The sequence below is a fragment of the Homo sapiens genome, chromosome 7, assembly GCF_000001405.40.
Source record: "Homo sapiens chromosome 7, GRCh38.p14 Primary Assembly".
NCBI lineage: Eukaryota > Metazoa > Chordata > Mammalia > Primates > Hominidae > Homo > Homo sapiens.
Genome location: NC_000007.14, coordinates 124010507 through 124033297, shown reverse-complemented (window position 1 = coordinate 124033297; position 22791 = coordinate 124010507). Strand labels below are relative to the sequence as shown.

Genomic DNA, 22791 nt, shown 5'->3' with positions numbered 1-22791 from the left:
CGCAGGGTGAGAGCTAGAGCGGGCGCGGGCGGGCGGCACCTCGCCCGGGACTGGAAGGGAGGGCGCAGCGGGGCCACGGCGGGGGGATTCCGCTAGCCGGGCGGCCCGCGAGTCCCCTGAGTGCATCAGCCCCCGCTGCCGCGGGACCGCGGCCGGGACGGAGCTCCCTGCGCGCCCCCCGGGGGCCGGCAGCGGCCAGGAGGCGGCGCGGGGCTCGGCCGCTCGGCCCTGCAGCTCCGCGCACCCGGCAGCGGCGGCGGTGCAGCCTCGGGCGTTCGGACAGCCTCCGAGCCCATGGCGGGGAGCGACGTGGACAGCGAGGGCCCCGCACGGAGGGGCGGCGCGGCGCGGCGTCCGGGGGCCCCTGGCGGGCCAGGAAGCGAGGCGGCAGCCGGCTGCCCGGAGCCGCTGTCCACTGCTGAAGCGCCGGCTGAGAGCGCCACGCTGCCCGCCTGGATGCGCCTCTACTTCTACGGGATGCACGGGATCACCCTGGACGTGCTGGTGTCCTCGGCCCGGCGCTTCGCCCGCAGCCCGGACCTGCGGATGCTAGGCTTCTCCTCGCCCTACCGCTGCCTGCTGCACTCGCTCACCCATTTCGCCCTGGAGAAGGTGTACCTGCAGCAGCGGCGCTGTCCCAACGCCTTCGTCTTCAATTTCCTCCTCTACCCCTCGGCCCACGTGGGGCTGCAGACCCTAGCGGGCCAGGCGCTACTACTCAGCCTGGGCGGCGGGGCGGGGGTCGCGGTGGCGCCAGGGGCGCTGGACCTGGCGCTGCAGTACGTGCTGGCGCTCTACCACTGCCAAGTGTTCCTGAAGCGCTTCCTGCGCTTGCGGTACGGGCGACAGAGGCGGCGGCAGCAGCAACAGCAGCAGCAGCAGCAGCAGCAGCAGCGGAGGGGCGCGCTCCCCGTCCCTCCCGGCGCCCGGGTCCCTACTGCGGCCGGAGCCCGGCGGCGACGACCCCGTGGCCCCAGGGGCGCCGGGGGAGCCCCCAGCCAGGGGCTGCCCGACCTACCCCGCTTTCTTTTCTTCGGAATGCACGGCTTTCTGGATGAGATCTTCTTCACCTTCTTCTTCAACGTACTGGGGCAGGGGGACGGGACAACCAGCGGCCACACGTCGCTCTGGTCCTTCTTTATGTACGGCAGCTGCAGTTTCGTGGTGGAAAAGCTCTACTTCCACCTCCACTACAGCCGCGGTTGGGGCACTTGGAAGCGGGTGCCCATCTACGTGATCTTCATCTACGTGTGGGAGCTGTCCTGGGGTCTGGGACTCCGCACGTGCGGGGCTTGTTCCTGGGACTATTCTCACTACCCGCTCAATTTTATGGGCCTCATCACCCTGATGTATTTACCTGGCTGGATATTCCTTAGTGTGTACCAGGACCTAATTTCCAACGTGTTGTGGAGGGTGCAGTACGTACCAGCTAACTAAAACCAAAAAAGAAAGAAAGAAAAGGAAAAAGTCACTGGATTCCCACGAATGGATGCGATTTATTTTTACACATTTAAAATGAAGTGGGTTTTTTAGTCCTTTAATTTTTATACGCTTTACTAAACTCTTCCAAATTGTTTTATTCCACCTTTTAGTTTTTCTATTTGAAACCCGTGTATAATATACTTTGAAACACTACTCGAAACATAATTCAAAGTACTTTATTTGCCAATGTTTTAAAACATTTACAAGCCCAAACGTTTACACGCCCAAACAGCAAAACCGTTATACCTTAACATCAGAATGATGTAGTAGTGTTTACCCATCTGGCAACAGATGAGTGACAGCTACTAATTTTTTTTTTTTTGGCGGGGGGGGATCTTTAAATCAGAGACCAGTGATTTTTACAAGATTTGGCTAAATTTTCTGATTCAGTGATTTGTTTTACTTTCTTTTTAATCTAATTTCATTTTAATTCCTTGCCATATTTACCAATGACTGAAGAAACTCAATGTCTTGTACTCTTGAGACTACAGTTAATAGCTCTTAAAGTGCCTCCGTCTAGCACACAAGTGAAAAGAGGCTGAAAAATGTGAAAGCACGTTCTATGAACAGATTTTTAAATGAGAGGTCTTTTCTAGCAACTCACACAGGTGACACTGTGTTAAGATATTTGATCTCCATCCTGGAAATGATTGCTTTCCAATGTGGGTAAGCCTTAAACAGCAGGTGTGTTAACGTTGATCAGATCCTGTGTTATCTATGGCTGTAAATTTTTGTTACTGTGCAATAATGTAAAATGTTTACCTTACATAGCCGAGGGCCAAGTGAAATTATATCACCTTCCACAGTGTTCTAACTCCAAGGACCCTTTTCTACATGGAACTTCAAGGGCAGAAACATTACCTTTGAATAAAATGAACCTGAATGTTCACTCTAATTACATTAAGCCTAATTGTTTTCTGTGAATACAGATATGTTTTCATTATATTTCTGCCATGGCTGTTTTTCCTTCTGGGCCCAGAGTCCTTGGGCCAGGCTTGATGTGGTAATGTGCATTATAAATCAATGGTAGCTTTGTGGTGACTTACTGTTAATGTCTGCAAGCTCTGAAGTTAAATGAGATGATGTAAACCATTTTAAGAAATTCATGCCTAATTAATAATGTATTTTGATGTTGTTTGCTGTTTTATTACATGTATAAAAGAGTAGAATTCAGTGCAGCTCAGCCAGGGATGACGAATATCCTCTCAGTTTTTATTACAAAGACAATCAGGAAAATTTCATGTATAGAAATGAGTGGTTTTCTATTCAAATTATCAGCGAGCCTATGCTGTAAAAAGGGACTTTTTTCTGTTTTCAAAAAATGTTTGCTACAGGAGTAGAAAATAATTTAAATTTGATTAACTTAGACATAGTTATGAGTGTTATATATTTTAAACCACTATCTGAGGTTGTAAGCTAAATTAAGAGTAATGAATGCTATATAATCAACCTCACCTGTGAAATGGACCATGCAAAACATTATTTTAGCCAAAATACTATACTCAAAGCTGAATAGAAACTTAAATATAAGCTAACTGTTTGCAGAGAGTTTCACTTAAGAAAAGTTCTCTATGACACTTGGTCAAGGATCAAAGATTTATGAAAACCCTGTGTAGAAAAAAGTATAAGCATAGTCACTCAAGTTAGGGAGATGCTGGACAGAATATTTGTAATTCAAATGTGACACATGTATCTGAGTTAAGTGTGACATCACACCACACACTCCAGCAAATACTTCACCAAATCCGAGATTTCTGAAATACTTGCTAAATGTACACATTTGCACTGTGCCCTTCACATGCTGCTCTCCAGCCCTTCTTACTTGCCTAACAGCATTCTTAGGGTCAGAAATCCATCAAGGAAGTAGGAAAGCATGCTGTTTTGTTTTGCTTTTAATGTTAATCCTATTTAAAGGAAAAGTCAAGGTTTTCATTCATTCAGTTCACTCAAGAGATACTTACTGAGCCTCCACTATTTGCCAGGCACTTGCCTGAACTCTGGATATAGCTGTGAACCAACACAGACAAAATCTCTGTCCTTGGGATGCTTACGTACTAGTGCTTTGATTTATGTAAGATTATACTTATTTGCAATAGGCTATGAGAGGCAATTTTTATGAGGGCTCTCATCAGGCCTGTTCCTGGAAAATCAATCCATCAATCTAAAACAAAAACCTGTTAGCAGTCTCTCTGCTAGTTCTACAAAGAGCTAGTTCTTATGTATTCAGGAAGTGATTAGCCTGTCTATTAACACAGCACCTCGCTTTAGGGCTTCTCATTCTGTGTTTACTCAGCTTCTTAAATGTGACATTTTGCTGCAACCTTTGATCCTTTAAGGAAAAAGCAGGGAAAAGAAGGAACCATCAGATCATTCAATTGTGTTACTAATTAGTAATTCAAATACAGAAATGAGACGGCAATGTGATGATAGTTAATATCTAATTAGCACTTACCACCTACAAGGAACTCTTCTAAGGGGTGTGTGTCTGTGTGTGTGTGTAAAGAAATATGTGAAAATATATATATGTATATATCTTAGGGGAATATATATATATTCATATATATCTCAGGGGAATACACATATTCATATATATATCTCAAGGGAATAGATATATATTTTATTTATATATATCATGTATATCTCTTAATATATATACATATGTGCACATATATTCACTTAAACCTCTAACAGCCCTACTTTTACAGATGAAGACAAGAAAACTCAAACCCAAATAGGTTAAGTAACTGCCCAAGTCATACAGCTACTGAGCATTCAGATTTGAATCCGTATATACTGGACTCCAGTGTCCATTCTTAACGTCAATACTGTCATGCCTTGATCTACTGACCACAGTGGATCTTCTATGGAGTTCATTTTACAATCCGTATTGCTCTTCCCTTCCACTATTATAGATGCAAGAGTAGCTGCAATAAAAGCCAGGCAATAGTGGCAAAAAGACTTTCACGCTGCCTTTTTATTCCATGGTATTAAATAACAAGGGAGCTAATAGCAGGATGCATAACTGACATCAGCCTAGTTCTTATCCCGAGATGATACATCTTTATATTTCAGTGATGCTGTGAAATACATTACCTTGCTTGAATTCAGATAATTTTGAGTTTATAAGAATAAGGCCAGGCGCGGTGGCTGACATCTGCCGTCCCAACGCTTTGGGAACCCAAGGCAGGAGAATCACTTGAGACCAAGAGTTCAAGACCAAACTGGCAACATAGCAAGTCCTCGTCTCTACAAAAAAATTAAAAAATAAATTAGCCAGATATAGTGCCACATGCCTGTAATCCTAGATACTTCAGAGGCTGAGGCAGGAGAATCACTTAAGCCTAAGAGTACAGGACTGCAGTGAGCTGTGATCACATCACTGCATTCCAGCCTGGGCAGCAGAGCAAGACCCTGTCTCTAAAATCAGAATAATATGCCAAAATGCAAGATACCTCATATCACAAGCTAGGAAAAATACATATAATTATTACTACACATTTAATATGGTACTCAGAATAAATGTCATTGTAAGAGCTAAGCAGCCAAAAATTAAAACTAAATCTTTAGAGACATTTATTCTGAGTTCTAGTAAACAACTTAGAGTAAGTATTAATAGAAAAACATAAATGTATTTATTTTTTTCTCCATGTTTAACTTATGCAATGCTGAAATGTCTTATTAGAAGTGCTTTAAATTTTAAATCAATTCTATTTGAGCTCTGAATCTAAAAAGGAATGTAACCTTTTGAGTTTTTCTTGTTAACAGTAAATACAGAAGTTCCTGTATCACACAAGGACTCCAATAAGATCGATCATCCATTTCAATATTTCCAACATTTTAATGATTCAGTGTACTTAACTATGAATACTTTATTATAAATATTTGATATTTCATGCTTCAGCTCAGCAAAACACAGGTTAGAAAAATATAACCTGTCTTTCATTGTTTAATCCTACCCCTTTGAATAAAAAGAATTTCTACTCTTGAAATAGTCTCCGTCGGCATGATGGACTTGGTTCTGCTTAAGAAAGACGGTGAATGAGAATTTTGATAGACTACTTTGGTTCGTTTCCTACTTCCAAAACCCATAAAAAAATCAGTATACTTGGAAAGGAAGCTACACTCACAATACAGAGTTAGAGTGATAAATAAGTAATTGTATTGTAGTATCTTAAAGCATTTTAATAAAATCAATTTTCCTTATATTAAAAGGCATTAAAATCTTTTACCTTTTATGTTAATTTTAAATACACTATCTTGAACAATGCTTAATGGAGCTAAGCTCCTTTACTGAAGGAAAGTAAGAAGAAAGTATATAGTTCCCACACCGCTATGCATCAAACACATGCTCAGCTTATACTGAAGAGAAAGATGGCAGCAAAAGATGATTCTGTTACATTTCCAGGGTGTTTTTAGTTTTTTTCCTATTCTTAGGCTTGGTACTGGAGCATCTAACAAAGATAGCAATTGTCTGTGTGGACCTCTATTCACTAGAATTAGCCTCATTCTCATTTTTAACATTGAGGCCTCAAGCCAGCCACCAGCAGCTGAAATTGTAAATTAACCTGTAATGTGGATAGAGAAATTTTTTATTGGAGACTTTTTTCTTTTAATGTAAAGAAAAACGTAGAGAATGGTTTCCTTAATTTCTAAATTATCTTTGCAAAAATCGTCAAGCAAATTACCAGACATCTGACAGAGAAACATGGATCCTTAACACGCACAAATGTTTAATTTTCATCTTACCTCTTAAAAATTCTACAAAATGCAAAAGTCACGTGAATCAACTTTCCCAACTAAAAAGAAAAATAAATAATATGTCTTTACCATGATTGAGGAAAATCAAGTGTTGAAAGAAATTGTGAAAGTTAATAACATCCAGCCTTCCACCCAAGGCAAGAATTTACACCTCTGAAAGATGGTTTCTCGGCTCAGCTTGTACTACTCAAGAAAGTATTAATTGTGTTTTTCACACAAAGGCTAAATGGGAGGAAAGCCGTTGGCAGCTGAGTTGATAAACCCCACTTTCAGTGAAGTAAGAAGGCTTCCAAAGTTTTTCGGAGCTAATATATGCTATTCATCCTGATTACTTACTACAATGAAACTTTTCTTAAGGAACGTTTTTCTCATTAAAAAAAAAAAAAAATCAGGCCAAGCACACTGGCTCATGTCCATAATTCCAACAATTTGGGAAGCTAAGATGGAAAGATCGCTTGAGACCAGAAGTTTGAGTCCAGCCTGAGCAACATAAGGAGACACAATCTGTACAAAAAAATCAAAGATTAGCCAGGCTCGGTGGCATATGCCTGTAGTTCCAGCTACTCAGGAGGCTTAAGTGGGAGGATCCCTTGAGCACAGAAGGTTAAGGCTGCAGTGAGCTTTGATGGACTCCAGCCTGGGTGACACAGTGAGACCCTGTATCAAAAAAAAAAAAAAAAAATCAGTGTTTCATTCTTTTGTCATGATACTTATGATCTCTTTATTTTCTTTATTGTAGCTTTTCAAATGATGCTTCATTCATGGAGTCTAAGCAGTAAGTCTTTGAGAGCTTTTAGCGTAATTATATTACTTCGGAAAATTAAAAAAATACATTGATTGCAGGTTTAGAAGACTAAATTCTAGACATTCTGCTTGAGTCGTTGGAGTCTCAACCTGGTTCAAGCCAAGAAAAGCCTTTGGCGAACTGCTCTGGTCAACCTACAGAACATCACCTGGTGAAGTTTCCTGGTAACTTACCCTCGCAGACCTAAACAGCTGTACCAAGAAAGAAATTGAGAGGCCATAGGTGTCACAGAGACAAGGAGCTAGCCAAAGAAGGGTGAAAGATTCCATCGATCATCCATCCAAGAAATTGTTCTTACCATATTAAGGAGAAAATTAGCTCCACTTTTCATGGGATTTCAACAGATGTTTATACTATATACAAGATATTTTATTAAAATATTAATATCCCTAACAAAAACAAAAGTAGCCTTATAGGATCTCAGATTCCAAACTTCAAATATTGAAAAGTCATTACTGGGGGAAAATAATATTGAGAACATGCAGAAAGTTTATATCATTTTGTTATGATTACCTACTAACTTTTAGGACAAAAACAAAATTAAATAGGCTCTTGTACACTTCTGAAGAAGAACTATTTTAGTCTAATTCTTTCCTTAGTAGCAATGAATGAAGAGGAAGAAAAAATAAATAAAAGAGTTCCCTGGTGTACGAGAGAGCAATCAGATTCCAAATACTTAAAAGCAAGAGTTTAATAAAATTCATCATAGTACTTACCCATAATGCTGATATTTAAAGCAAACAAAACAAAACAGAAACAAAAGAATAATTAAGGCAGAAACTGAAGATCAATTGAGAAGGATACTATTCGATAGCCATAGAGGGCACATGTGTTAATTTTCTATGGGTAAAATAATTGGAATATGTGAATGTTATTCTATATCTTTCTAGCAGATTTGCATTCCAAAGTAAATTTTGGGTTCAGGAAACACTGCACACCCTAGGTTTGACAGAATACCAAATGTATACTTTATTAATATTTATTTAGTGGAATTTCTGAGTTTATTTTTTGTGTAATGATGTTATTGGGCATGCTATGAAAGTTTTAATAATAGTGTTATTGAAGTGTCTACTCAGTGCATGAGTAAAGAGACCACAACTTATTGAAAATCTAAAATCACAGAACTTTAGAGCTTAAGAAGATAACTAATGGTCACCTAGTTCAACTCCCAGCCCATACGGTAATTCCTTCTAGATCATCTTGGACATGTGTCCATCCATCATCTTCATGATCACTTTCAATGACAGAGATCATTGTACTTACTCAGATCTCCCAAGAAAATGTGTTTCTTTGTTCTACAGCTTAGATTGTTAGAAAGGTCCAAACGATAAGACCACATCTGTAACTCAGTCATTTTTCGGAGTTTTCAATTCATGGACAAACCAAAAACCAAAGATTTTTTATTATTATTATACTTTAAGTTTTAGGGTACATGTGCACAACGTCAGGTTTGTTACATATGTATATATGTGCCATGTTGGTGTGCTGCACCCATTAACTTGACATTTAACATTAGATATATCTCCTAATGCTATCCCTCCCCCTCCCCCCACCCCACAACAGGCCCTGGTGTGTGATGTTCCCCTTCCTGTGTCCATGTGTTCTCATTGTTCAATTCCCACCTATGAGTGAGAACATGCGGTGTTTGGTTTTTTGTCCTTGAAATAGTTTGCTGAGAATGATGGTTTCCAGCTTCATCCATGTCCCTACAAAGGACATGAACTCATCTTTTTTATGGCTGCGTAGTATTCCATGGTGTATATGTGCCACATTTTCTTAATCCAGTCTATCATTGTTTGACATTTGGGTTGGTTCCAAGTCTTTGCTATTGTGAATAGTGCCACAATAAACATACGTGTGCATGTGTCTTTAGAGCAGCATGTTTTATAATCCACCAAAAACCAAAGATTTGAAGAAAGTTTCCAAGTGTGTCATAATTGTCTTACTCCAGGTTAAATATCCCAAAATATTGCAGCAATATGTAATAAAGTATAATGATGGAGCTATTTCCAACTTGGTCTAGAAATTTTATCTCTGCAAATAGGAAACAACATTACACACAATTGGCCATTTTTGCAGCTCAACTCTGCCATTGTTTCAGTTGAATTTTCATTTCTCGAAATACCCTAGGTCTCCTTCCAGTGAACTACCATTAAGCCAGCTGGTCCTCTTTATGCACTTATACATTCATATAAAGATAGTGGACATGGATCTCTGTTATTCCAATACTGCATGACTAGGACCTGAAAGTGAGTTAGAGAGAAGTGACAGCAAGTAGAGTGAAGAAGGGAAAAGTTACCCTTGAATTTACTCTTCATTTCTTTTGTTTCTTCTGTTTTCCTGCTCTCTTCTCCTGGGATTAGATGTAATGTCATTTTCCCTGTTTTCTCAACACTTAGTAAAGAACATAGCTAAGAGTAGATGCTCAGAAATTTTTTGTTGGTTCTGAATGTTTATGTCAGACATAATAGTGGAAGCAGAACTTAGAAATACTACCAGGTGGCATATGTGATTTCAATAGGACATTTATTTATAGAACATATACAAGAATCACCTTGTGCCTAGAAAAAGAGGTAGGAATTTTTTAATTTTTCATATTTTTCTCTACTCTGCTCAGCAGCTTCTTTACCCAGGCAAAAAGCTCAGTTAGCCCTCTAAGAGAGTTTAACTACATGGTGGACTTTTAAATTTGTAGGCTAGTCAAAGAACCTAGCTACCGTTAAAAACATTATTTCTGAACCATGAATTTAGAAAGAAAAACTGATGTTCATGTGAACTAGTTGGAAAGAGTATGTTTTATGATGTGACTCTTCTCTAAAGACTGATTTGCTCAGTTTGCAGCTATTTTTATTTTTTTATTTTTAAAAAGAGATTTTATTGTTTAGAACAGTTTCAGATTTGCAAGAAAACTGTGATGATAGTACACAGCTCTTACATACCCATTAACATCTTGCATTAGTATGAGTCTTTTGTTATTATTTAGGTACCTATATTACTAACAAGAGCCCGCACATTATTCAGATTACCTTAGTTTGTACCTAATGTCCTTTCCCAGGATTCCATTCAGGACAAAACATTATGTGTTCCTGAATGGAACAAGAAGAAAATGCTCATGACAATTATATTTCTCACTTCTGTAATTGTTTACATGGGCACAGCAGGTATTCATAACTACTTTCTTTCATTATTCATTTTGTATTCACTTTGTTTTCAGCAAATACTTCAGCTGATCGTAGTTCTTTACCTGGTGGTGTAAACCAAACCTTCATTCTGAAAGGTCTGGGTCATTACAGACCTGGATTGGACTGGACAGTTGCTATGGTTTTCCACTGACCTTAATCACTAGGCATAGTAATGCTAAGAGACTCCCTAAGGGATCTCCTGTATTCCAGACCTATTCTTTCTTACCTCCGTTGTGAAGCAGCAGTCCAAATTTCCCCCTGTTAGTCAGAATAAATCACCCCAGCTAGCACAGTAACTCCCTTTTTTGCCTGTTGATTCAGAGGCATGAGGAATCCAAAGTAACTGAGTGGCAGTCTTAACTTCCAGTTCAATAGAAGCATTGTTGTGTCTCCTGAAGGAAGCATTTCTCCCTTTGAATCTAAGACCTCTAGGCCAGTGGAGCATAAGGTCATGGGAACAGGAAGCAAAAACTTTGCTGGTGGGTCACCATGTGTAATCCAGGTCCACCCCTTGATTCTTGGACCCATGAATGCTGGCTATGGGAGAAATACTCATATAATTCATATGATGCTAAACCTTGTCCCAGCCCTGCAAGGCATTGTCATCCAGCTGGTGCTATAACTGAGTCTTCAAAAGGCCATTCCACCATTCTATCAAGCCAGCTGTTTCAAGATGGAGGAAAGTATGGTTAAACCAGTAAATTCCATGAGTGTGGACCCATTGTCATACTATATTTTCTCTGAAGTGAGTTCCTTGATCACAAGCAATGCGGTGAGGAATACCGGGACAATGGATAAGACATTCTGTAATTCCATGAATGGTAGTTTTGGCAGATGTATTGCATGCAGGAAACACAAATTTATATTCTCAGTGAGCATCTATTTCAATAAGGGCAAAATGCTGCCCCTTCCACGATGGAAGCAGCCCAGTGTAATCAACTTGCCATCATCTGGCTGGCTGATTGCTTTGGGGTATGGTGCTATACTGGGGACTCAATGTTGATCTCTGCTGCTGCCAAATTGGGTACTCAGCAGCAGGAGTAACCAGGCCTGCCTTGGTGAGTGGAAGTCTATGTTGCTTACCTCACGCATAACCTCCATTCCTACCATCATAGACATTTTTTCATGAGCCCACTGGGTGATGCCAGGGGTGGTGAGAGAAAGAGGCTTACTGGTATTCACAGAATGGGTTATCTTATTCAATTAATTATTAAAATTCTCCTCTGCTGATGTCATCCTTTGGTGTGTATTCACATGGGACTCAAATATCTTTAATTATTTTTGCCCTTTCAGTGAGTTTTATTCACATACCTCTTCCCCAAATTTTCTTGTTACCAATTTTCCAAATATATTCTTTCCAAGCCCCTGATCATCCAGCCAAATCACTGGCCACAGTCATGAATTGTTACATAATTACACATCTGGCCATTCCTTCTTCCAAACCAAGTGAACAACCAAGTACACTGCTCAAAGTTATGTGGAAGGATTTTTCTTCATCACTGTCCTTTCTTTCATACAGTCCTTACAGATAAATGTTGTATTGGAACAGTCATCCACTTTTGGGTGGTACCTACATATCATGCAGAACCATTTATAAACCAGGTCCAAGTCTTCTCTTCCTCTGTCAACTCATTATAAGGAAACCCCATGAAGCATAGGTAAAAGTTGGGAGAGAGGAGGCAGTGTAGCAGAAGTGGGCAACATGGGCATTTGAGCCACTTTATATAACTAACTTATGCCTTCAGGGCTTGCTCAGGCCCAATCACATATATATCATTTCCATCTGATAATGGAGTGCTGGTTTGCATGCCCAACTTTGTGGCTTGGTGGTCGGATAACACCCAGTTCATGATGGGCAGCTCAGGTCACATGGTAACTTGGTGAACCATGGTTAAGCATTCAGTATCTACTATGACACAGTAGCAGTAGCAGGCCAAGAGTTATTTCTAAAAAAAAAAAAAAAAAAAAAAAAAAAAAAAGTAGCTATCCATAGAGAATGGCTGGGATTTGCTCTACAATCCTAAGGCCCTACAGTACAATTCACCTATGGGGGCTTGCTTAAGGCTCCAAACAGCATCCCTATCTGCCATTGACATTTCAAACACCATTGGATCTGCAGTTGTCAATGACACCACAATCTCTGAGTCTCTCACCCATCTGACTGTATTTATTCCTGTATCTCTTGCAGGCTTCCTGTTTTCTTGTACTTTGGAAAGTCCTCAAGTCTCTGAGACTACATTCATTGACATTGAGTCCAGGAGGCCCAAAATATCACTGTGGCCCAAGCAGCTAAGCAGCTTACACAGCAACTCGTATTTGTTGCAAGACCTTCTTCTGTCTTGGGCCCCACTCAAAACTGGCAGCTTTTTAGGTCATTCAGTAAATGGGCCAGAGTAACATACTAGAATATGTGGAATACAAAGGGGGTCACTAGCTGTTGTGCCTCTTTTTGGTGTAGGAGTTGTAGACCAGATACAACAACTTATTCTTTACTTAGGAGAGAGATCTCAATATGCCCCACACCACTGGAACCCTAGAATTTTCAAGAGGGAGAAGGTGCCTAAATTTTGCTAGTTTTAATTTCTATCCTAAGGCACACAAATGGCCTTACCAACAAGTCTAGAGTATTTACTACTTCTTGATCCTAGGTCCAATGAGCAAAAGGTCACCAATGTAATGGACTAGTGTGATATCTAAGTCAATCAAAGAAAGGAAAGTCAATCAATATCCCTGACAACTAAATTATGACATAATGCTGGAGAATAAATATACTCATGAGATAAGACAGTGCAAGTATATTGCTGGCCTTGCCAGCTTAAAGCAAATTACTTCTGGTGTGTCTTATCAGCAAGTATGGATAAAAAGGCATTTGCCAGATCAACAGCTACATACCAGGTATCGGGGCTATGTTAATTTGCTAAAGCAATAAAACCACATCTAGTATAGCAGCTGCAATTAAAGTCACCACTTGGCTAAGTTTATGATAATCCACTGTCTTTCTCTAAGACCCATCTGTGTTTTACACAGGTCAAACTGAAGAGCTGAATGGGGATGTGGTGGAAATCACCACCCTGTGTCTTTCAAGTCCTCAATAATGGCACTAATCTCTGCAGTTCCTCCAAGGATATGGAATTGTTTTTGATTCACTATTTTTCTAGATAAACACAATTCTAATGACTTCCACTTGGCTTTTTCCACAGTAATAGCCCTTACTCAACAGGTCAGAGAACCAGTGAGGGGATTCTGCCAACTGATAAGTTTGTCTATTCCAATTATGCATTCTGGAACTGGGGAAATAATCACAGAATGTGTTCAGCAACCCCCTGGACCCCCTGTAAGATGGACCTGACCTAAAACTTTACTGGCCACCTGACCTCCATAAGCCTCTACTTTGGAGGGCCACAGTGACATTTTGAGTCTCCTGGACTCCATGTCAGTGAAGGTTGACTCAGAGACTTGAGAATTTCCCAAAGTAAGAGAAAACAGGAAGCCTGCAAGAAATACAGTAATAAATACAGTCAGATGGGCAAGACCAATAGAATGTAGTGTCACTGACAATGGAAGCATCTTAGTCCTTATGGGCTGCTGTAACAAAATTCCACAAACTGAGTAGCTTAACAAAATAACAAAAATGTATTTCTTGTAGCTCTGAAGGCTGTGAAGTTCAAGATCAAGGCGCTGGCAGATTTGGTATCTGGTGAAGGCCTATTTCCTGATTTATAGATGGCACTTTCTCGCTGTGTCCTCACATGGTGAAAGAGACAAGCAAGCTCTCTCAGGCTTCTTTTATAAGGGCGCTAATCTCATTCATGAGGGGTTCTCCCTTGTGATCTAATCACCTTCCATAGGCCACCTCCTAGTACCATCACACTGGGGACTAGGATTTCTACATATGAAGTTTGAAGGACACAAACATTCAGACCACAGCAAGAGGAGAGGAGGAAGAGGAGGGGCATGTGTTCATTATCATCAAATTTGGCATAAAATTAAAATAAGACCAAGGTCAATGACCATTATATTTCAGGATATTCAGAAAGGCAAAGTACAGAAATATATTGAGGAGTGTGACCTGAGAAAATGGTGACAATGGCATAAATGACTTGTTTGAAATTTTGATTATATAGTGGAAAAAAAGGATGGGGCCTGTAGCTCAACATGTGTGTGGAGTCAAGGAAGAATTTCTATATCCTAAATCGGGAGATTTGTGTGAATATAAATGCTGGTGAGAAAGAATGCAACCCAGTATAGAAGTTGAAGATACAAAAGATAAAAAGGACATAAAGTCTCACGGTTAAAGCATGCTTAAGAATAATTGATAGCTACCAACATTATTGAGAGTTTACAAGTTATCTTCTAAGCATAATTAGTTCTCATAGCAATCTGATGAGGTAGGCACTGTTATTATCTCCATTTTTCTATATGCTATAAATGGGACACAGGAGAACTGACTGTATTTCCCAAGGCCATAGGGGTAGAGTGAGGATTTGGACTCAGGCAGTCTGGATACCAAGCTGCATTCTCTAAACATCCACATTGACAGAAAAGCAACATAGGATTGAAAGGGGAAAAAGACATAAGGAGCTAGCACTGCACTGAATTTGCACGCTGCCCATCTTATACAATCCAATGCAGAACCCAGAGAAAGCTTCTGAAGTCAGCTCTACTCAAAGGGAATTTAAATCCGTAAGTATTTAAATAAATAAATCAGCAATGATTTGTTGAGCACCTGCTATATAACAGAAGCAGACACTAGGAATGCTCTAGGAATAAAAAACAAGCAAGTCTGACACGACACCTTGATTACCTACCTTATTGTATTAGTCGGCTCAGGCTGCCCTAACAAAAATACCATAGATTGAGTGGCTTAAACAACAGTAATTTTTTTTTCTCACTGTTCTGGAGGCTAGAGGCCCCAGATCAAGGTCCAGTAGAGTTGGTTTCTGGCGAAGCCGCTCTTTCTGGTTTGCAGACAGTCATCTTCTCTCTGGGTCCTCACATGGTGGAAAAAGATTGAGCTCCTCAGTGTCTCTCCTTATAAGGACACTAATCCTATCAGATCAGAACCCTGCTCTTATGGCCTCATTTAATCTTCATTGCTTCTACAAACGCCCTATGTCCGCATTCAGTCACATTGAAGGTTAGGGCTTCAACATATGGATTTGGAGGGAACACAATTCCATTTACAGCACTTTTAATTCCTTCTTTTAATTCCAACCAAGACCCTGTGTGATAATTGTTATTATCATTATTATTATTATCTACAACTCATGGATAAAGCCACTGAGACTTCCCCTGCCATACAGTTAGTAAGAGACAGGAATAACACTCCATTTCACCATTCTTGTTTGGCAACATTATATGTCCCTCAGAAAGTTCAGGGCTGTGTCACTAGGCAGGGGAAAAGAGCATCCAAAAAGAGAAAGAGGGAGCATCCTCTTAGTTTTATCCTTGGACTATGTTATATAATCTCATTGTCATTGCTTTTTTATTGTCTCTTGGGAGGAGCTCTATTTTGTCTATGCCTAATTTTAACCTTTCTTACAATTTGTACACAGATTGCTAAATCAGCCCCCTCCCCTGCCATTTTAATTTTTTCTTCTGAGTCTGTCTACTTTGTTACTCAGAAAATTAGCTCTCTGCAAACATCTAATCACAGACACTCTGTCTCCAGGCCTTTCTGAGAGCTGAGACAGAGGCCTTGGAGAGCAACTATACTCAGAGCCAATTTCCTTAATTTCATGGAACATGTTTTGAGATGAGAGTTTAAAATATTTGACCAATGATATTCAGGAGTACAAAATCAATTTTCAATGCATTATAAATGGTGTATCATAAATGGGTAACTACATTTCCATTAAGTTTATAGGGTATTTATTTTCATTTTGGAAGCATGAATTCCTAATTGTATTTCTAGATGATCTATAAATAACTCCAAATGTGCTTATCAATGTTTTGCTTTTTAGGGCATAAAATAGATAACACAGATAACAAGGTATTTGGCTTTCTTAGGCAAATGAATTATTTTTTTTTAGTCCAGATAATCTTATATTACTTTGGAAGCTGTGTGCAAATCAGGCAATTTAGATACAATGTCCGAGGGAAATAGTGTCCTTCTAAGGAACCACTGTTGGTAGTTTAAATGTTCAGTGTGTTCCTTCTCCAATTAAAGCACAACATAGTAAAGAGACACATCCCTGGTATCATTCTTTGTGTTAGAAATCATTAGCCTCTGAAAAAAAATGAAAATAGTTTGAGTGAAGAAAACTTTCTGTTGAAGCAATGAGGTGAATTTTATGAAGATAAATACATTTCAGATTTTTCAACTTTACCACACCAATTATATATTTGAGGAAATATAGGTACCTTAACATGGGTACCATATGAAGATAAAATAAATTCCAGATTTTTGACTTTACCACACAAATTACATATTTGAGATAATATGGGTATCTTAATGTTAAGGAATTCTGTTAGGGGTCAACCTGCACCCACATAGTTTAATGAGATCAAAACTCAAAATAGAAAAGGTGAGTGGCTGAAGTTAGCTATTCAAAATGGTCTTTATACAAAGCCACTTTGTTTTCCATTACCAAACTTTCTTGAATAGGCCCACTCACTACACCAGTTAAATGTTGATAGATAATTTGAAAATCGACTTTATACCACTTCTATCCAGAATATTATGTAATGACAAATGTCATTTGCACTATTTAATGTCCGCTAAACATATGTGGTAGCTGAACAGCTGGACTAGAGGTAGTCTACCTGAGGAGCTAAATCTTAAATTCTATTTAATTTTGACTAATTTAAAATGAAGTTATCACACGTAGCTAGTGGTTACTGTATTGAATTCTACAGCTCTAGTCTATATGTATTAGTTTGTCAGGGCTCTTAGAAAAAGTGACTCAAACTGGGTGGCTTAAAACACCAAAAATTACTATCTGACACTATTAGAGGTTAATAGTCTGAAATTTAGGTGTCAGTAGCGCCATGCTCTCTCTAAAGCCTGCAGGGGAGAATCCTTTCTGCCTCCTCTAGCCTCCGGTATTTACCAGCAATCACTGGTGTACCTTAGTTTGTAGATGTATCACTCCAATCTCTGCCTTCTTCATCACATGGTCATCTTCTCTCTGTCTGTTGCTGTGCTGAATGTTTGTGTCCCCACAAAATTCATATATTGAAATCTTAGTCCCCAATGTGATAGTATTAGCAGGTAGGGCCTCTGGGAAGTGATTAGGTCATGAGAGCAAAGCCCTCATGATTGGGACTAGTGCCCATCTGAAAGAGATCCCGGAGAACAGGTTCATCCCTTCCAGCATGTGAGGACACAGCAAAAAGACATAGTCTATCAGCCAGAAAGTGCCCTCAACCTGTGTGACCTCCTGTGTGACCTCATCTTAACTAATTACGTCTGCAACAATCCCATTCCCAAATAAGGTCACATACTGAGGTACTAGGGGTTAGGATTTCAACATATCTTTTAGGGAGACTTAATTCAGACCATAAACCCATACTTTTGAAAAATAAAAAACTGAAAAATAATGTGTTGTCTTAAGTTAATCATTACCATTAAGGCTACTGAAAGTGTACCACTTTTACTTGGGTCTATCATCACCTTAATTTTGACTTTAATTTGTAATCAAAATATTTCAGTTCAGTTTAAACAAAAGTAATTCAGAGGCCGGGCGCGGTGGCTCACGCCTGTAATCCCAGCACTTTGGGAGGCCAAGGCGGGTGGATCACGAGGTCAGGAGATCGAGACCATCCTGGCTAACACGGTGAAACCCCATCTCTACTAAAAAAAAATACAAAAAATTAGCCGGGCGTGGTAGCGGGCGCCTGTAGTCCCAGCTACTCGGGAGGCTGAGGCAGGAGAATGGCGTGAACCCGGGAGGCGGAGCTTGCAGTGAGCCGAGATCGCGCCACTGCACTCCAGCCTGGGCGACAGAGCGAGACTCCGTCTCAAAAAAAAAAAAAAAAAAAAAAAAAAAAAAAAAAAAAAAAAAAAGTAATTCAGAAAAGAATTTCAGAAAAAAAGGCATTTTAAATAACTTCAGATAACCCAGATTATTAGATAGTGTTTGGCATCTAAAAACCAAAAAAAAAGCAAGTATATAAGATTGCTATTAACTTAACAAACTTTTAAGTTGAAAACTGATTTAATTCCTTTCCTCTTGGATTTTTTGTGAACCTGTTGCTGCTTCTCCCTAAATCAGCACTTGGGAATAAAAAAGTTTGACATCCAAATAAATCTGAGAAACTGATTTTAAAAACATTCAAGACGTTTCCTTACTGTAGAACTTACCAGAAATCATGTTAGCTAATGCTCATTGTGAGCTTCCAAGAGCTTGATATAGCATACACTATTTCCCAAACTTTTTGAGTACAGAATAGATTTCTTGATTTTTTTTCATTTTGTCTTGTGTTTTGGCCTCTCACACAATATGCTCTGAGAAACATTCCCTAAATGTATCAACTAATCTTCTACCTATCCCATGTTTCACTGTAATCTTCCTACTCTTGGTAACTCTATAACAGCCCTTTTGCCTGTGACATAAACTTATTCAAAAAGTATCAAAATTGAAGAGCAAAAAAACCTATTCCTTCTTGCCTACTGTATATGGAACCAGTAATCAATTCTTATCACATCTTTGAAATTATAGTTTATATTCATTTCTTTTCATTCCCTCAGTCTTCAGAAGGAATAGACATCTAATGCAACAGTCTTATAGTGTATTAGTCCATTTTCACACTGCTTATAAAGATACTGCCTGAGAGTGGGTAATTTATAAATAAAAGAGATTTAATTGACTCACAGTTCTGCATGGCTCAGGAGGCCTCAGGAAACTTACAATCATGGCGGAAGGCAAAGGAGAAGCAAGCACCTTTTTCACAAGGCAGCAGGAGAGAGAGAGGGAGCAGTGGAAACACCAGATACTTATCACACGACCAGATCTTGTGAGAACTCACTATCACGAGAACAGAAAGGGGAAAATCCGCCTCCAGGATCCAATCATCTCTCACCAGGTCCCTCCCTTGACACATAGGGATTACAATTTGAGATGAGATTTGGGTGGGGACACAGAGCCAAATCATAAATCATGTAGTTTACGTTACTTGTGCCCATTTCTATGTAATTCAATCTGTCTGAACTAAACTTTAAATTACCATAGTCATCACATTGAAGAAGAAATTAAAGCAGCATTTTATCAAATTTTGTCTAGTAGAAAAATAATTAGATTAGCCACTATTAACTAACTGGTCATTAAATGCCTAAGATTGTGAATTATTGCTTTTTCAATTCTTGATTTATTCTCAAATTAAAGTAGAACAAAGGCAGCCTAATCATTTGGCTTGGAATCAAATACTTCCTAGGAAAGCTCTTAGAGGTCCAAACAGATTTTTCTGTCTGATTTTGACTTTTCTTCGTGGGAACTATCAGTGGTTACCACTTAAAATGATGAGCCTACCATTTCTTATCATGTCTTTTTTTATCACTTAAACTCCAGGGCTCCTCTGAAGCTGGCATTACTTGACAATCAGCTATGCTTGGATTCATTTCTCTAACTGTCCTCTTTTACAACTCGTTAACTGAATAAGTCTTCAAAGGATTTTAGTTGCCATGTCTTCAGAGTTGTTTTTCTCTTCTCCAGATAAAGAAAGGTCAGTTTGCCACAGTCAAATCATGTAGCTGTTTTTCCATGAAAGAAAATGTCTTTTTCAGGGCAAGTTACAGCAAGCCTACTTCTCACTAGAAAAATCGTATATATTTTATATAATCATATATTTTTATAATAATGATAATATTTGTATATATTGATATATTTTTATATAATGTATATGTGTATATCACAAAAACTTACCTTAGTAGCATTTCTGTTCCCCTCCAATAGTATTTTCTCCCCAAATATGCAAACATATTCCTGGGGATCCAATAGTTACTGTCAACTGAAATTAAGGCTGTTGAGATAGAAATAATTTCATAAAGATTTATTTATTTATTTATTTATTTATTTATTTATTTATTTTATTTTCTTGAGATGGAGTCCCACTCTGTCGCCCAGGCAGAGTGCAGTGGAGCAATTTCAGCTCACTGCAACCTCCGCCTCCTGGTTCAAGCAATTCTCCTGCCTCAGCCTCCTAAGTAACTGGGATTACTGGCACATATCACCATGCCCGGCTAATTTTTGTGTACTTTTAGTAGAGACAGGGTTTTGCCATGTTGACCAGGCTGTTCTCGAACTTCTGACCTCAAGTTATCCACCCACCTCGGCCTCCCAAAGTGCTGGGATTACAGGTGTGAGCCACCACACCCGGCCACATAAAGGTTTATTGGAAGCCAAATGTGAGGATTGACCCAGGAAGACACACCAGCAGAGCTGGGGGTGTTCCACAGCCTGTCACAAGGTGAAAGATATTTATAAGAAAGTTTTAGGCCAGATGCAGTGGCTGACACCTGTAATCTGAGCACTTTGGGAAGCCAAGGCGGGTGGATCACCAGACGTCAAGAGTTCCAGACCAGCCTGGACAACATGGTGAAACCCCATCTCTACTAAAAATACAAAAATTAGCCAGGTGTAGTGGTGGGCACCTGTAATTCTGTCTACTGGGGAGGCTGAGGCAGGAGAATGACTTGAACTCAGGAGGCGGAGGTTGCAGTGAGCCGAGATCAGGCCACTGCACTCCAACCTGGGTGACAGAGATTCTATCACCAGAAAAAAAAAAAAAAAAAGAAAGTTTTTTAAAAAAAGGGAGACTCCTCATAATGTAGTTGTCCCCTCTTCATTAGAGAGTACAATACAAAAGGCATAATCATCGGCTACAGACAACATCATATGAGTTAAAAATGTCTACATGTAGGACCATCAGCAGAACTTCATGCTTCAGCAAATCTTAAAATAAATCAGCATCCTATTTAGTGTCTGCAGGTTATACATTGATCAGTATAACCATTTGAGGAATTTATTATTTACTGAGAGACAGAATGTCACCATAGAGTCACAAGGCCTCCCCAAGATTGATTAATTTGGAAGTCTGCTTATTGTAAAATGTGATCTGAAGGTTGTCATTTCTCATTTCTAAGGTTTTTTTTGTTAATCTTTGCACTTTTATTTTATTGATGTAACTAAGTCCTGTATCTTATAATTTTGCATTACAATATTATTGCCCATGTTTATAATTTTAGTTATTATGGGGGTCGCTCTTGAGGCTGTGCCAAGTGAAAAGCTAATGACTTTAAGGTACACCAAATGAACTAAGGTTCATGACAGGAAAATTGATTTATCACAATGTACATGATATTACAGGGAAATTGAACCCAGATGAATGATTACCATACTCATTCTACAGGATGAATTGCCAAATCACTTCACTTTATTAGCACCAAAAATATTTTTCTGTTCTCAAATGTGGTAATAATTTAGATCACTAATCAAAGTAAGTTTAATTAACACTACATGCAAATTTATCTTCAACTAAACAAAAGAACAGCTTTTCAGAGTTGCCTCGTACCACCTCATTCAAATTGGCCTTTTTGATTACTCAGTGGATTTGGTTATCTTGAAGTAACAACATTATAAGCATCTCAAAGGCACCAATACTAGTGAATTGTGGAAATACAACATTTATGTGAACAGATGCATAGAAACAGATCAAACAGGGGACAATATCCGAAGCTACATCTTCCTACTCTACACCCAATATCTGTAATTGACTTTCAGCAAGCAATATCATCCATCATGTTAAATTAACATTATTGCTTTATGGCTTGCTTTATATTAATGTATAGATTCGTTTAAGTTTTATATTTGTGTAAGAGCTATAAACACAAGGTTTTGCCCGTTTCTATTATTTAAGCAAATTAATGATAGATATCATTTCCACAATAATTCTTTTCTCTTTAATGGGAGTATGTGACATAAATTTAGAAACAGTTTTGCAACTTTCAGTTTTTGATATAATCTGATTAGTGGAAGAGCTTCATAACCCCAAGCTGTGGCTGTATCAGAACAAAACTTTTAAACAACCCATTAAAATGTTTTCAAACTCGGCTACATCTGCATGCCTGGCATTTACTAGGCATTATAGAATACTCTTCTTAACACCACTGCATTTCTTATTCTCCTTATGAGACTAGGAGGAAATTGGAAAAGTGGAGATGAAAAGAATGAAGAAATGTAAACTGACTGAATAAGTCTGAAATTCAAACCCTCATACATTGTTAGAGTCTTCTGTATTCTGTATTCACGTAGTAAAGTCCTTAGGAGACCAAACTTTGAAATGAAAACAAAATTATGAATTTGAAGGAAATGAGTGTAAGTGCAGGTTTTAATATCAATGAATATGTGGAATAGAAACGAATGAGACCCTGAAAAGAAAGCCTGCCATTGTTCAGAAACAACAGGATATGTATTCCCCTATCTGATGGTGCCTTTTAGAGTCCCATAATCGCTTTCTTCTCTTTCTTGCTAGAGGCTTTCCTCTGTTGAAGGCCTTTTAACTCTCCCTGCTCCCTCCTGTGTCTTCTCTGTGGAATGTACTGACCTAGATGTGGTGCCAACCAGT

General features: G+C 39.2%; 1 protein-coding gene and 1 long non-coding RNA gene across 2 annotated transcripts in view; one reads left to right on the top strand and one right to left on the bottom strand.

Annotated features, from left to right (window-relative positions):
• Positions 1 to 230: 230 nt before the first annotated feature.
• TMEM229A (transmembrane protein 229A) lies at positions 231 to 2377 on the top strand. Its single transcript, NM_001136002.2, has one exon. It carries the CDS (start codon positions 295 to 297, stop codon positions 1435 to 1437), a length of 1143 nt encoding a protein of 380 aa, NP_001129474.1. The 5' UTR covers positions 231 to 294; the 3' UTR covers positions 1438 to 2377.
• Positions 2378 to 5651: 3274 nt separating this feature from the next.
• Positions 5652 to 22791, bottom strand: part of LOC105375483 (uncharacterized) — a 33025-nt gene continuing 15885 nt past the window's right edge. The window contains exons 4-5 of the long non-coding RNA NR_133947.1: positions 20091 to 20187; positions 5652 to 6897 (exon numbers count right to left, since the gene is read on the bottom strand). This is a non-coding gene — a long non-coding RNA (uncharacterized LOC105375483). The remainder of the gene's footprint in view (positions 6898 to 20090; positions 20188 to 22791) is intronic.